This window comes from Homo sapiens, chromosome 17 (genome assembly GCF_000001405.40).
Source record: "Homo sapiens chromosome 17, GRCh38.p14 Primary Assembly".
In the NCBI taxonomy this organism is placed as follows: Eukaryota; Metazoa; Chordata; class Mammalia; order Primates; family Hominidae; genus Homo; species Homo sapiens.
In genome coordinates this window covers 4,502,380-4,516,672 of record NC_000017.11, presented here as the reverse complement: position 1 = coordinate 4,516,672, position 14,293 = coordinate 4,502,380, and the positions used below count along the sequence as shown (strand labels likewise).

Below are 14,293 nucleotides of genomic sequence, written 5' to 3'. Positions count from 1 at the left end.
TGACTACAAACTCTAACTCATCCTTCAAAGCCCCATTCAAACGTCTCCTCCTCAGGGAAGTGTTCTCCGCGGCCACCGGCCAGAGCTAGGTGCACGCTCTCTGCCGTCCACCCAGGCTCCCACAGCCCCCTGTGCCTGGGTGGTGGCTTGATGATACGTTTTCTGCCCCCATAGATAGAGGGAATCTACCTGAGGGTAAGAACTGAGTCTGGGCAGAGCCCAGCACACGGCCTGCCAGGCAGTAGGTTCAGTGGCAGCTGCTTCTCTAGGTGTAGGCCATGGGGGCTCCTGATTTCCCAAAACAGCAAAACCTATGAGCGGTTTTTTTGTTTTTTTTTTTTTTTTTTTTTTTTTTTGGGGAGATAGAGTCTCACTCTGTCACCCAGGCTGGAGTGCAATGGCGCAATCTGGGCTTACTGCAATCTCCGCCTCCTGGCTTCAAGCGATTCTCCTGCCTCAGCCTCCCGAGTAGCTGGGATTACAGGCATCCACCACCACACCTGGCTAATTTTTGTATTTTTAGTAGAGATGGGGTTTCACTATGTTGGACAGGCTGGTCTCGAACTCCTGACCTCAGATGATCCACCTGCCTCAGCCTCCCAAAGTGCTGGGATTATAGGCGTAAGCCATAGGCGCCCAGCCTATGAGCTGTAATTCTGCTGTGGGCTTTCAGAGAGCCTGAGATATGGCTCCTGCAGGGGGTCCAGGGGCCAGGTCCAAACCAGCAGCCATCTAATCTGCAAAGGGGCTGCTGAAAGTGGGCTCATCCTCAGCAGTTTTCCTGCCTGGTCCCAAGAGGGAAACAGCAGGGGCAAGCCCAGGCCTAACCCTCAGCCACCCCCACTCCCTGTCTCCTGGCCCAGCAGCCCCTGGTGCCACAAATAAGCAGGCAGCCCAGCTCTCAGCCCTGGCCCTTTGATCTGGGCAAGCACCAACACCTGGCTGGCGCCCTCCACCTGGCTCCGACCTTATCGGGCTTGGGGAAGGCACAGGTGCCTGGGACACAGGCCAATTATGTGACTTGCCTAGTTGTCCACTGAGTAACATCATGGTCTACTCGACTGGCTTCTTGGCTTAGGTGGCCAAAGGGGTGAGGGCACCCTGGGGAGCCATCCTAGCTGTGCCGGGGTAGGTGACAGGTGAGGGCCATGGTGTACAGACTAGAGGGTCCCTCAGAATGCTGGCAATTCTCACCATGGCCCAGAGGCACCCGCCCTGGGGACACTGAGATGCCAGGTATCCAGGCTCCCCCCCAGCCTATGGGCAGCAGAGGCAGAGGCCCAGGTCCCTATTCCAGGCCGGCTGCTCTCCACTGCCAGCCCTCAAGCAAGCCATTTCCCTGTCTTGGGCCTTTGTCCCTGTATCTGGTAAGTGCAGCTGACAAACAGAGCCCGTAGGGTTACTGGAAGAATGAAACAAGACAATGCCTGTGTGTGCTTTGTCCACCTCCAGCCAGGCCACCGGGATGAGGAGGGACGGAGTGACTTCTCTTTCATGAGCCCGAGAAGCCAGCCTGGGACAGAACCGCAGAAAGAACCAGGGAACCCTCACACCTGCCTTGAGCCGAGCCCCCAACCCCCTGCCCGGCCTGTGACCCTCCCCACCATTCCCTGTACCTCCCGCCCCCTCCCTGGGCTGTGCTGGCCCCGACCATGCTCAGTGGTCATTAAATGGAGGATGCGTGGGGTAGAGCCTTGCTCCAGATGAGGCAGTGAGGCCGGGACCAGGAGGGGGATGAGGCTCGGGCCAGGTCCCCAGTGAGTCAGGGGCCACACAGGGCGGGGGTTGGGCAGCTAGGCCTTCTCCCACCCTTTCCTTGCCAGCCTGGCAGCCCACTCCTTCCCATGCGCCCATGTGGCTGGAACTCCATTTCCCAGCTGCAGTGCTGGTCACTGCATGCACACAGCCCAGAGGGCTAGAGGAACCTGTCTCAGGCGGCAGGGCAGGCAGACTTATTCTGGCCTAGCCAGGGAGACCCAGGAAGGGGTAGGGGAGGCGTTGGGCTCATGGCCTGGGAAAACATGATGTCTGCCAGGGCAGGGACCTGGCCACCTATAGGGGATACTGGACCGCACGGCCCTGCCCCATCCTAGAACAGTCAAGTCTCACTTGAGCCTGAGAACCATCGCAACCCCTCTCTCTGAGCCCCAAAGTCCCCATCTGGGCTGTAAGGACAGCTAGGAAGGGAGGTGGGGGGAGTGGCTGTGGCATTCTGTGAGCTCGGGAGGGATTGTGAGTACTGGAATGCCACTTAGACAGGTCAGGCAGGTTCCTGGACAGAACGAGCTCACTCCACCCCCTCCCTCCCAGGAGGGCCCAGGCAGGGGAAGGGGTTCACCGACTGGACTGGAATGCAGACCATGGGGACCTCATCCTGCATCTGACGGGGGCTCACAGCCAGATGGACTCCAGGGCCAAGGGCCCAGAGAAAGCAGGATCCAGGCTGGGGCCACACAGCATGACTAGGGCAGAGTCAGGACCAGGCCTCCCGCCCCAAGCCCTGAGTGGCAGCACTGGCCTTAGTCTCTGCCCAGGCCTGAAGGTTGCTGCTAAGAGCATCGCCAACATGGCCTCAGCCAGTGGGAAGGCCAGGGAGCCAAGGGCCCAGCTCCCACAGGGCCATGTCATGGGGAAGGCAGGGACAAGGGAGGCACGCTCCCTGGAGGGAGGGGCTGGTGGGCTGCCATAAGTGCTTAATGGCCTCCCACACTGTCCCGGCCCAGCTTCCAGCAGCCTGGGGGCTCAGGCCCTGCTCTGGCAGCCCATCAGAAGCCTGGGCCCCAGGGGAGAGGGTGGTAGGGAACCTCAGGCCCACGTCCAGTCCAGGGCCCAGATTCTCAGGCGCCTGCCCCGGGCTTGGGAACCGCTCTGGGGCTGACTAGCTGGAGTTTTTTGCTTCGTCACCTAAGAGGCGATTCCCAGGGTTGATGATATTGGAAGGAATGTGGGGGAGGGCAGGAGATAAAAACAGGGTCACCACGGCTCTGCTGGCATTGCCCAACTTACTGAATTAAGGAGCTCCCTGCACCAGCCTCAGGAGGGAGCCTGGATCACTGGGTCCCGATGAGGCCCCAGGACCCAGAGAAAGTTCACCTCTGCAACCTCTGCCTGCACTCTCCTTTACCTGCCATAGCCCCTCAGGGCAGGTATTATTCATTTTGTTACACAAGAAAAGCAGCAGAGGCTCAGAGAAGCAGTGCCATTGGCAGGTGGCAATAGTGAGACTGGGATGCAAAGCCCACTCTCTTTCCAGGAGTCAGGACAGGGGAAGACAGACCGGGTGGCAGATGACGACCAACAGGACAGGACCCACGACGCCAACGCCTGGGCGTGGGGGGGAAGGTGGGAGGTGGGCCTCACCTGACTGCAGCAGGCCGGCGCCTCGGTCCTTGACCCCAAAGTGCTGCTGGATGTCCAGAAGGACGCCTGGAGGGAAGACAGAGGGTGCTCACTGGCCGAGTCTGATGGCTGGTGTCCCCACAGACCAGCCCAGCCTCTTTCCCGCCTTGCAGGGCCCAGCCTGGCCATATCTGCGGCACTCCTGCTCTGCTGCGACCTCTACCCTGCCCAGGTTTCCCAGGCTTCCCTCCTGCCTCCCCGGGGACCTCCTGTCCTCAGCCTGTTCCCATCACTCACAAGGACCCGAGGGGCAGGGAAAGGCAGGGCTCCTCTGCGGTCATTCTGCCCCATGGGCAACCACACCTCCTATCTGCCAGCTTGGGCCTCTTCCCTACCTGCGGCCCAGGCCGTGGATCAGTGCAATAGACATAGGCCTTTCCCTCAGGGGGAACACAAAGCCCATGACTCAGAGAGCAGCGGGGGCCCTGAAAGCTGCGGGGAGCCCTCTGGCCTGGGAGGGGCAGCCGCTCACTCTGGTTCACCTGCACATGTGCACAACCACATTCGCACACACACGCACACACCTGTACATGCACACACACACCTGCACACGCACGCACGTGTGTGCACACACCTGCACACATGCATACACACCCACGCGCGCACACACATACCCGTGCGCGCGCACGCACACACACACACTGTCACCCCAGCTGCCCTCAGGATTATAACCGGGCCCCTCCATTTTCAGATTCTGGCCCAGGGTACAGAGGGAAGCAGGCGGGGCTCCAGGCCCGTTTTCTTGGGAGAAGTGGATTTCTTGAGGCCACACCCGCTTCCAAGCCCAACTACTTTAGGGCTTTGCACGTCACGGGGTGGGGGCAGCAGCTGGACCACCCAGAAACCACCCACAGCCCCAGCAGACTGGCAGAGCCATGGCTTCTGGGGGACAGGCAGGATCTTGGACCTCCTACCCCTCGCAGCACTCAGCCAGGGCTCCTGAGTAAGCACAACCCCCATCCCCGTGGGCCTCAGGGTCCCTGCCTGCATTATCTGTGAGGACAGGAGGACCCAGGGCACAGGCCAGAGCCCCGCTGACCATAGCACATCTGCAGTGAGAAGGGACAGCGGAAGAAGGAAGAGGAGATGGCCCTGCCTTTGGGGGCCTTACAGGCAGGGACAGAAGCCTTTGGGGGACTCCAGAGCTCTTCATGATGACGATGATGATGGCAGCATTCAACAGATGATGGTTTGCCGAACTGAGCATTAAATGCCTGTATAATCCCCACACAGCCCTAGGAGGCTGGTACTAGGATCCAAGTTGACAGATGAGGAAACTGGAGCATAGGAAGTCAGGCTGTGGGCTCAAAGTCACACCACAGGGAAGTAGGAAAAAGTGGAATCTCCAGGTGCTGTATGAGGATCCTGCTGGCAGCTGGGACTGGGGGTGTGGAAGGAGTGGGGAGGCTGGAACGTCACTGTCCCTTCCGAGACCCAGGTTGGAATCCTGAGCAATTTCCCGGAATGCAGGACAGACGGGCGGATGTCCCAGCAGCCTGACAGCCAGAGAAGCTGTCTTCCTCCTTGTTAATGCCCTGAGTGGGTTGACCATAATTACCCGTAATGAAGAGGCTGTGTGAGGCCCAGTTAATGACTTAATAACCAAGGCAGAGGCTGTGGCTTTGCCTTGAAGGTAGAAGCCGGGGCCAATCCTAGGCCTGTGGATGGCAGAGCCAGCAAGAGGGACCTCTGAGGTGCCCTGACCCAGCCCCAGAGGCTCACAGCCCCACAACCCATTCCTTTCTGGGTCAGGACTCTGTTCCCCCTCCTGATGTGTAGGTTTGATCCCATCCCTCTGTGGCACAGTCACTTCACAGGGTGAAGGTGTGGCCCTGCCAGCCCCGCCCTCCGGCCTCACTTCTCAGGACACCACCCCTCCACTAGCCACCCCAAACTACTCATGGCCCCCTGACTCTGCACACTTCCTCTTCTATTCTGGTACAACTCCGTCAACCAGGCTCACTCCTGCCACTTCTTCAAGGCCAGTTCAGATGCCTCCTGTTCTGGAATATCTCCCCTGCTTGCTCCCCTCCCACCACCCTCAATAAGTTAGTTGCCCCCACTCTTCCCCTGTCCAAACTCGTTTTAGCACTGGGCCTACCAGGATGAGTGGGTTCTATAGGGAATGCACACAGAAGCACAGCTATGAGCTCCTCCTGAGCTGAGAGCCGCTAGTTACCGCTTCCCGCTAAGTTCCAAGGAACTGCGTGAGGCTTTGAAGATGGTACAGACGCTGTCCTCACTATCTGTGCTGGTATTTATGATTCTCATCCCATTTTATATAGGAAGAAACCGAGGCTCTGAGACATGAAGTAATTTGTCACACAGTACATTCTGTTTTGGAGGTGAGATCTGAAACGAGGTCTATTGCCAAAAACCAAAGCTCGTTCTCCTGCCACGCTGCCTTCTGCGTGGTTTGCTGGTGTCCTCCAGGGCCCAGCACACACATAACCCACAGGGACTTTACACGTGGGTGAATGTTTCTTCATCCTCCACTAGACCACAAGCCAGGCAGGAGCCGTGGCCGGTCATCTCCAGGACTCAGAGCAGGGACAGTCACGATTTTGGTGTCGGGTGGACAAGAGGATGGGCGGAGTCAGGAGGAGGCAGGAGGGTCCCCATCCATAGTCCAGAGGAGGGACACGGGTCTGCAGTAACTGCAGGTTCCATTTCTGGGAGGGAGGCCATATCAAAATAGCCATCATGATGACATCCTGTGTCCACGGCAAATCAAAGCACTCTCGCTTCCTCCCTGCAGTATCCAGCTATCCAGCGGCACACTTCCCCATCCGATGACTTCAAGGTCCAGGATTTGCCTCTGCCTCCAGGAAGCCTTCCCCTGACTTCCTACCACATAGAGCTCCTGGTAGAGGGAGAACATTCCTCCACATCCAGATGGGCGTCTAAGGTCTCTGGGAAGTCCTGGGCAGTTCCCAGGACACAGGAAGCTTTTGGATAACATGGCCTGCTCCCGTCCCACCACTCCCCAGCGCCCAGTCTTGGGTCCAAGTCCAAGCTCCAGGAAGAAGACCAGAGAGAACCTTCCCAGGGAGCAGGGCTTCCTGCAGGCTGCGAGGCCCAAGGTCGGACCTGGGCTGAACCTTTCTGGCTTGCTTTCCCTCTTCCGGGCCTGGAGGCGGCCACAGCCACAGGAGGGTGAGATCCCGCTGGCCGCTGGCACGGGAAGCGTGTGTCACAGCAGCTCGGCGGGTCGCCTCAGATTTTCCTTTGGGCTCCAGCACGGCTCAGGCCCACGCACCCCTCCCTTCTTCACCACAGCCTTATTTTTAGCCTCTTTCCTGGAGGCTGAGGTTTGGTGGGTCACAGGATGGGCCTCACGCCCAGGAGCAGCCTCCCACAGCTCAGGCCAAGCCCACCCCGCCAGGCGTGCATGCAAAGTGGGGTTCCTACCCCAGATGCAGACCCCAGCCAACACAGCCACAATGCAGGCCTCTCCAGGCATACCCCAAATCCACAGCTGGAATCGTCTCCTAGCCACAGGGTTCTCATCACCCAAGAAAACATTCTGGAACAACATCCATTGACAAGTTACGTACCTCCCAAGCCCCAGGAGGTCTCACCTCTTGTCTGAGGCCAACGTCCCCTACTCTGGGCCAACAGTCTCTCTCGCCTGGCAGGGAGGCTGCGCTGGGTCAGTCCTTGGCTTGGGCCCGTGCACTCAGCCTCTCCCTGGCTTCCGGCTCCTGCACAGCAGCCCACAAACACGCCCACACCTCCCTCACCCTGGTGGTGAGAACAGCTCTGACTTGTCCCCTCTGCCAGCTGTTCCTTTCCTCTCCTCCTTTCACAGGTGACAGCATTTGTTGTTGTTTTGAGACAGGGTCTTGCTCTCTGACCCAGGCTAAAGTGCAGTGGCACAATCACAGCTCACTGCAGCCTCAGCCTTTTGGGCTCCAGCCATCCTCCTGCCTCAGCCTCCCGAGTAGCTGGGACCACAGGCGTGGACCACGACACTTGGCTAAGAACTCTGGAGAGTTCTTTCCCTTCCCAAGTCAATATTCTCACCTCCTTTCCTCCTCTGAAACCAACCACCTCCTGGAGGCTCAACCCCTGGACGCTCTCATCCCTGTTTCCCAGCCTCCTGACTGATTCCTCAGCTCACCACTGGGTCCCCATTCCCTGAGCGGACCCTGTAGGACACTGCAGGACCCTGGGAGTCAGCCAGGATACCCCTTTGGCTCCCTCCACCTCATGAATGGGCCCCGGTGATTCTCCATCTGCTTTATCGTCCAGCCTCCTCCCTGGACTCCCTGCCTCCAGCCCCTGCCGGCCAGCCGGCATCCCTCCTGCTGCCTGATCTCACAAGCTCTTACGAATCTCCTACTGAGTTCTAAGTCCTGGTCTGGGCCTCTAGAGACCCCGAGACAGTGCCTGGACTCAAGGAGCTAACGCTGTGGCCCACTGGTGACCTCTGGCCTCAGAGTCGTCCATCAGTCCTTTAAGATCCACTGGCCCAGACCCCTGGCTCAGTAATGGTACCAATAACAACAGCGACAATGCACATATTGACACATATCCACCAACTACTTTGTGCCAGGCGCTGTTCTACGAGTATTGGCCCAGTGGGTACGGCTGCCCACTCACACTTAGCAGCCCCATTGCCGCCCAGAATTCTAGCATCTGAGGCCTCCACGGTCTGGCCCTAAGCCAGCTCTTCTCCCAACCACAGTGCCCACCGCACACACATACAGCCCCTGACTCCAGGCAAAGGGAAATGCTGCTAGCCATGACTTTTCACCTCCCTGGACCCCTATTTCTTCCTGTGTAAATGCAGAGACTGGGAAGATCCCCAAACCTGCCTGAGAATCCCAATCACCTTTAGGGAAGGTGCTTATTAAAATACAGCTTCCTGGGGCCCTCCCCAAATCTGCAGAGTCACCCTTTCTAGATGTGGGACCTAAGAATCTATAAACGCACTGCCCAGGTGATTGGAAACCACTGGCCAGGCTGCTCTGAGTTCCCTGGAATCACACATCACAGGCTGTAGGCCGCCCAGCCCTGGCCACAGCTGTGCCTCTTCCTAGGCTATCCCTCTCTAGCCATTAAGACCTGCCTCACCTCTAGGGCGCAGATCCAAAGTCGCGTCTACCAGGATACCTGCGCCTCTCTCCTCTGAGGCTCTTGGTGAAGTGGTGCCTGTAACCTCAAGGGCACCCCCAGAACTGGATGGACTCTGGCCCTGACTCACTCAACAGCTTGCCCCAGACACTCACAGTGATTCCCCATCACTGCTGGTTCTTCAGTAGCCCCGAGAGGAGTCAAGCCCCGATTCCAGGACTTCTGGCCTCCTCCTCCCTCCTCCAGCCAGGCCCAATCTGCTGACATCACAGAATCCTCGAAAGGCCAAGGTGTAAGAGGAAATCCACACTGACCTCAAGAGCCCTCGGCTCAGGCCAGCCTCAAATGCAAGATGCCAACAGCGTGATCCTGAGGTCTCTTCCTTCCTAGGCAGCCCAGACAGGGCACCTGGCACTCAAGCTTGTCCCCGCGTACCCCCTGCTTTCCCCAAGCACAGTCAGTATCAGCCCACGTTCACCCTACCTGAGCCTGTCTCAGAGCAGCAGGTGGCTTAGCTAAATTCTCAAGAGCATGGGCTCTGGAACTGGAGCATCTGGGTTTAAATCCTGGTTTTCCCACTTTCTCTGCTGTGTGACCTTGGGGAAATAACATAACCTCTCTGTGCCAGTTTCCTCCTCTGTAATATGGCTTAATTTGAAGACCTGCTTCATTTCATATGGTTGTTGTGAGGTTTAAGTAGGTTAATCCACATTCAGTGTTTAGAATAGTGCCTGGCACATAGTAGGTCCTCAATAAATGTCATAAATGTTATCATTTGTAATTAACTAGTGGGACAGGACACAGCCCCAGCTATGACCTGAGAACAATGGGGCATTCCCACCTTGGTTTTCTTTTATCCAAAATGGGGGCAGATGCCTGGAAAGACAGGGCCTAGCAATCTGAAAGGATGGGCCCTGATGCCCTTCACCAGTCCCTCTCAGAGGGACCCAGGTCCCCATGTGGAGGCCTCAGTGCTGGCTCACGCTGGGAGTCTTACCCCTGCTCCCGCTTGGCTGCAGCTCCCACCCCGGTAATTACAGGGGCCTGAGAGCCTGGCTCTGCTGACCTGGCGCTGGATGGCTAAGGCTGGGAACCCACAGCCCGGCCCCGCTGGCACCCCACCAGCCTAGGGACTGGGCCAAGGCAGTCCCTGAGCCAGTGCTCTGGACTCAGGCACACTCACTCCTACTCACCCCCAGGCTTCCCCAGGGCAAGATCCTGCCCCCGTCTGCCCGCAGGAGGCTGTGATCTTCAGGAGCAGCTGGGCCTCAGGTTGCCCATTTCAGAAGTGGCCCAGAATCCCAAGACATCCCTGCTGGGTTCATTTCTGAATCTCAACTGGGTTTGTTCTACATCTGCTGGTCCCCTACTCCCAAGCCACCCTGCAAATCTGGGTCATTAATGGCAGAGCAGCTTACTGATCAGTCTCTGCAGAGACCATGAGGATGAGGCCCCCAGCCCAGAGCCTTGGCCCCTTAGAGAAACACCCCTCCCCACCCACGAGTCCTGCCCGCAGACCCCGCTAGCCCTAGAGAGACACCACCCTGGAGCTCAGAGTGTCCCCCTCCTCCCTGCTGTGTCTCTATGCCAAGAGTGGGCGGGGCCGGGCTGCCGGGCCTCTGGCCTGTGGTTCTAGTCTATCATTTGGGGCCAGCTTTACTGGAACCAGGCTCTGCCTGAGCAATCTGGGGGCTTTGCACGGCTACTCCTTCCCCAGCTCAGCCTCCCCAGCCCTGTCCTGGCCCAGGGACTCCCAAGACCACCAGGGGCCAGGGATAAGGTGGCCACAGCCTTATCGTGACCCACAGGGGGTGTGGCCAGTGGGTCATGATATGCCAGCCAGACACAGGATAAGGCAGGGGCCTGGGGAAGAGGGTGGGGAAGAGATAAGAGACCTCAGAATGGCTCCCCTCAAGCCCACAAACCCTCAGCCTTCTCCCCACGTGCTACTTCAGTAGCCAAGGCGGCCAGGGACTGCTGCTCCCCGCCTCGGATGGAAGCTGACGTGCAGAAGGTGAGCGGGACAGAGGCTGCAGGAGCCAGGCCGAGCTGGTCCCCAGGCTCCCACATCTGGCCTGTGTTCCCCACCTGCACCCCGACAACTCCCCACAAAAAGGCTGCAAGCAGTCACCCCTCAACACCCTAGCATCCCCACACGGATGCTGGAAACAGCTGTGTGACCAAGTAACCCCACCTCTCCCCAGGCACAGCCCTTTTCAGTTGACAAAGCCTGATCCTGCTCTTTGCCTCTTGGAAGCCCATTCAGGAACCCCATGCCTGACAGGGAAGGAATCACGAAGACCTCGTGGCTCTAGGAGTGGGAGTGGGGAGACCCTAGCATGGGCTCCAAGAGGGCAGAGGAAAGCGGGAGGCAGGAGGACAGGACCCTGTCCCCAGCCTCCAAGCTCTGGCTAGTGCCTCGTTCCAGGTTTGATTCTTGCCCCGATGCCGATGCTCTCCTCTCCTCTCCCCTGTGGCCCCACTCACCAACCTCCCAGCCACCAGGCGAGGACCAGGCCCAGAGCAGACCGGTGCTCTTCCTCACACGGCCTCACTGTGTGACCTGGGCCAGCCCTATCTGCAGAAGAGACAGGGCAAAGCTGCCACTGTGCCCTCTTGAATGTAGAAAAGCCATGTAGAAAAGCCGCTCTGCCCAGCTTGGGGGTTGCGCGGCCTCATTGTCAGGGCTGAGGACTGGGTAGACAGGGACTGCCTGACTACATCCTCCCATTTCCTTCCTGGAGACTCAGGCCCTGAGGCTCATTGTGAGCCCTGGTCAGAACAAAGAGACAGCACCAGCCACTGTCGGAGAAACCCTGATGTCAGCACAGGGGCCTGGCCCTTCACCTGAGCTGTCCAAACCTACCAGTGCCCTTTCAGCCCAGAAGGATGTGCTTTGGGTCAGGCAGGTATGAGTCAACCCAAGTCTCAGTCAACTGAGTCTGTGACTCAGTCAACAGAGCTCAAGCCTGGGGCAGTCTCCTATGCATGCGGGGGTCCCAGGTGTGACCATGGCTAGAGGGGGATGGTGACTCTCCATGGGGATAGGTGCTGTGATGGAGGCGGAGCAGAGCACAGTTCAAAACCGGGAGTTAGGCACTTGGTTCAACCCAGAGCACTGGAGACGGCATCCTGGAAAGAGGACACCGCTGAGACCCACCAGGGACAAGCGCAGTTGGCTACTGTAGCTCCCGGGAAGCAGATCTGGTTGTCCTGGGGAAAGGAGGTGCAGGCAGAGCCAGGGACCAGCAGACTGGAGTTCCTGAGACCAAGTGCACCACACTATCCTTGGGACCAAGACACTGACAACAGCAAGAGAGGGACAAAAATCATCTGTCATGGATTCAGGGATCAGAGAGAGTCAGAATTTGCCTCCAGTCACACAGTAAAGCTGGCGAAGGCTGGCAGAGCCAGGAACAGGAAGCTCAGCCCAGAAGACATTTGGAGCTTAAGAGGGAGCCCAGCCCCAGAAGCCTAGGGATCGGGCCAGTGTTCTCCTGGACTCCCTCACTCTCATCCCCCTTCTACCTTCAAGATTTCAGGCCCCCACAGGCAGAAACAAAAGCCACTTCCTATTGCAGAAGGTTCTGGGGAAGGGACAAGGAGCTCCTCCTCTGAGCAGCTCTGAACAGGGCAGCCTCCCTCTCAGAACAGGCTATCACCTGCAGACCTGCAGCCTTCCTGCCTCATCCACAAAATGAGAAACAGAGGCACAGGCCAGGCCCATCACCGGTCCAGGGCCCCAGACCAAGGTACTATGTTTCAAAGCACTTCCTCTGATGGATGACAGCACAGCGGAGGGGCTGGCAGAGCCTGCTGGAAGGTGCCTTGAAAAGGAAGCAGGAGCAAGGAAGTGGGCAGCAGGCAGTTAGTCACAAGGGCGCTGACATTCTAGACCACCTGGCGCTTCACCTGGGTGCTGAGCCTGCCAGTCAGACACTCTGGATGCCCTGCCCCTCACACCTCAGCTGGGGTTTCTCCACGGTGCAGATGTGGCAGTGGCCAGGACAAGGCCACCTAAGAGGGCAAGGCAGGGGCACTGTTTATCCTTAAGGTGGCCATCCTTATCTAAAGAGAGAGCCACAGAGCCACAAGACAGGGCCTGGCTTAGCCCCTACCCACCAGGTGACCCTGTAAAAGACCCTGGGCCTCAGTTTCCCCATCTTTCAATTCTGGATAGACTTAACAGGACAGACCAAAAAAAAAAAAAAAGCCAATAGGAGAGTGAGCCCCAGCCTGGCACCCCCTCCTCCTGCACCCAGCTCAGCTGCTCTGGGGAAGCCCCCAAGTCCCTCTCGGCTTGTGTTCCCAGCTGGGTCCCTATGCTCATCGCTCCTTCTGGGTTTGTGTTAGTGAGCAGTTGCCATGGATACCAGTCTCAGCTTCTTTGGCAGAAAAGGACTCCCCCAGGGCAAGGCTCTGCCTTTCCTCAACAGCCCCCACTCCACCCAACTCCAAGTGCCCAGGCTGCCCCAGGCTGGATCAAAGGGAAAGAAAATAGGTCTTGAGAAGAGAACAGGTACCCCACAGAAGTTGGGGAAGGATCTCAGTTCCCAAATAGTCATTCACCACCCATAAACAAGGCCAGGGCCACCTCCCTCTTGTGGGGCCTGGTTCCAGGAGCAAAATGCTGCCACCTACACCCTCAGCTCTGCTTCCATTTCACAGAGGTAAGAATGGCAGCCTGGGTGGCAGAGGTGGCTCTGGCACCAGGAAGCAGAGCTAGTTAGAGGGGGCGTGAGACCCCCGTCTGAGGGACTCCCTCCTTCTCCTGACCTTGCAGCTAGGAGTGGGCTCAGAATGCAGAGTGGGTGGCTGCTAGGGACCATAGGAGCAGGAGCCATGTGCCCTAGGGGAGCTCAAACTGCCTTGGCTCAATTAAACTGAAATTCATCTACCCAAAGGGCTCTTGCCTAAGCCAGCAGAGCCTCTGCGTTCCCAGGCCAGAAGCAAGGGTCATGCCCCTACCTCCACCTGGGGCTCCTGGGACTGGAGAGGATGCCGCTCTGGCTGGTGTGGCCCTGCTCCGCCCCCCGTGTGACCTTGGGTAAGTGTCTTTGTTCTCTGGATGGCTGTGTTCCCATCTGCGCAAGGAGGTGCAAGGAAGGATTTAGAAGAGGTTTCTGGGCTACCTCAATTTCATCCAATTGAAGCAACGCTCGGTAAGAAGAGCAAGCACAGGAGCCTGGCCCTCCTCACCCGCTCTGAGGCCTGCTGCCCTCAGGGGGTTCTCATGGGGCGGAGGAGAGGCCGTAATTAGCAGGTTCACCGGGTGGCGCTGGGGCAGAAGCTACTAGAGTTCCCAGGATGGAGACCAGCCCTGTGGAGAAGGGAGGGGCTTGCAAAGGTGTCCTGAAAGGACTGTCATAAACAGAACAAAAAACAGAACAACAACAACAAAAATCCCAGGAAAGGCATCGTGGCCAGCTTGAGCAGAGGCATGAAGGAGAAGGCAGCTGGCACTCGTGAAGCCCTCCTAGGAATCTGGCCCCGTCCCAGGTGCTCGAGATACAGTCTCATTTATCCCACGCAACCCGGGAGGCAGGCGGGAGGGGAATGATCACACAGAAGGCTCAGGTGATGTCTTCAAGGTCACACGGCTGGGAAGCTGAAGAGCCTTGGCTCGAACTCTGGCAACAAAGACTCTAGACCTGCACTGTCCACTCTAGTGGCCCCTGGCCACCGTGATATTGACATGTGCTGTGAATGGAAAATACACATACTGGGTTTCAAAGACTTAGTATGAAAAGGGAGGCAAAATATCCCATTAACAACATACATATGTGTGTGTGTGTATAATTTTTTTTTTTTTTTT

The 14,293-nt window shown here is 57.9% G+C and overlaps 1 protein-coding gene across 3 annotated transcripts in view, besides 9 other annotated features; it reads right to left on the bottom strand.

The window, feature by feature from the left end:
* The window catches only part of SPNS2 (SPNS lysolipid transporter 2, sphingosine-1-phosphate), a 40,155-nt gene that overhangs the window by 22,363 nt on the left and 3,499 nt on the right, over positions 1-14,293 (bottom strand). For 2 of the 3 annotated variants that reach the window (XR_007065260.1, NM_001124758.3), the window contains exon 2: positions 3,361-3,426. Coding sequence is in view for 1 of the 3 variants with exons in the window: in NM_001124758.3 (NP_001118230.1) it covers positions 3,361-3,426 (66 nt within the window). In the remaining 2 variants the exon portion in view is untranslated. Of the gene's footprint in view, positions 1-3,360; positions 3,427-6,980; positions 7,212-14,293 lie in introns of those variants that run through there. The other variant, XM_047435339.1, reaches the window with a different exon arrangement.
* Positions 1,814-2,471: an enhancer, noted in NCBI's record as "H3K4me1 hESC enhancer chr17:4417497-4418154 (GRCh37/hg19 assembly coordinates)". NCBI's record gives its function as "activates a minimal SCP1, AML or CMV promoter by ChIP-STARR-seq in naive H9 embryonic stem cells {active_cell/tissue: H9 hESC(naive)}" and the evidence as "EXISTENCE:reporter gene assay evidence [ECO:0000049][PMID:30033119]".
* Positions 3,828-4,474: an enhancer, noted in NCBI's record as "H3K4me1 hESC enhancer chr17:4415494-4416140 (GRCh37/hg19 assembly coordinates)". NCBI's record gives its function as "activates a minimal SCP1, AML or CMV promoter by ChIP-STARR-seq in primed H9 embryonic stem cells {active_cell/tissue: H9 hESC(primed)}" and the evidence as "EXISTENCE:reporter gene assay evidence [ECO:0000049][PMID:30033119]".
* Positions 7,168-7,227: an enhancer, noted in NCBI's record as "active region_11542". NCBI's record gives its function as "activates an Ori minimal core promoter by ATAC-STARR-seq in GM12878 lymphoblastoid cells {active_cell/tissue: GM12878}" and the evidence as "EXISTENCE:reporter gene assay evidence [ECO:0000049][PMID:35858748]".
* Positions 10,464-11,132: an enhancer, noted in NCBI's record as "H3K4me1 hESC enhancer chr17:4408836-4409504 (GRCh37/hg19 assembly coordinates)". NCBI's record gives its function as "activates a minimal SCP1, AML or CMV promoter by ChIP-STARR-seq in naive H9 embryonic stem cells {active_cell/tissue: H9 hESC(naive)}" and the evidence as "EXISTENCE:reporter gene assay evidence [ECO:0000049][PMID:30033119]".
* Positions 11,133-11,802: an enhancer, noted in NCBI's record as "H3K4me1 hESC enhancer chr17:4408166-4408835 (GRCh37/hg19 assembly coordinates)". NCBI's record gives its function as "activates a minimal SCP1, AML or CMV promoter by ChIP-STARR-seq in naive H9 embryonic stem cells {active_cell/tissue: H9 hESC(naive)}" and the evidence as "EXISTENCE:reporter gene assay evidence [ECO:0000049][PMID:30033119]".
* Positions 11,863-12,363: an enhancer, noted in NCBI's record as "H3K4me1 hESC enhancer chr17:4407605-4408105 (GRCh37/hg19 assembly coordinates)". NCBI's record gives its function as "activates a minimal SCP1, AML or CMV promoter by ChIP-STARR-seq in primed H9 embryonic stem cells {active_cell/tissue: H9 hESC(primed)}" and the evidence as "EXISTENCE:reporter gene assay evidence [ECO:0000049][PMID:30033119]".
* Positions 12,364-12,864: an enhancer, noted in NCBI's record as "H3K4me1 hESC enhancer chr17:4407104-4407604 (GRCh37/hg19 assembly coordinates)". NCBI's record gives its function as "activates a minimal SCP1, AML or CMV promoter by ChIP-STARR-seq in primed H9 embryonic stem cells {active_cell/tissue: H9 hESC(primed)}" and the evidence as "EXISTENCE:reporter gene assay evidence [ECO:0000049][PMID:30033119]".
* Positions 13,054-13,569: an enhancer, noted in NCBI's record as "H3K4me1 hESC enhancer chr17:4406399-4406914 (GRCh37/hg19 assembly coordinates)". NCBI's record gives its function as "activates a minimal SCP1, AML or CMV promoter by ChIP-STARR-seq in primed H9 embryonic stem cells {active_cell/tissue: H9 hESC(primed)}" and the evidence as "EXISTENCE:reporter gene assay evidence [ECO:0000049][PMID:30033119]".
* Positions 13,570-14,086: an enhancer, noted in NCBI's record as "H3K4me1 hESC enhancer chr17:4405882-4406398 (GRCh37/hg19 assembly coordinates)". NCBI's record gives its function as "activates a minimal SCP1, AML or CMV promoter by ChIP-STARR-seq in primed H9 embryonic stem cells {active_cell/tissue: H9 hESC(primed)}" and the evidence as "EXISTENCE:reporter gene assay evidence [ECO:0000049][PMID:30033119]".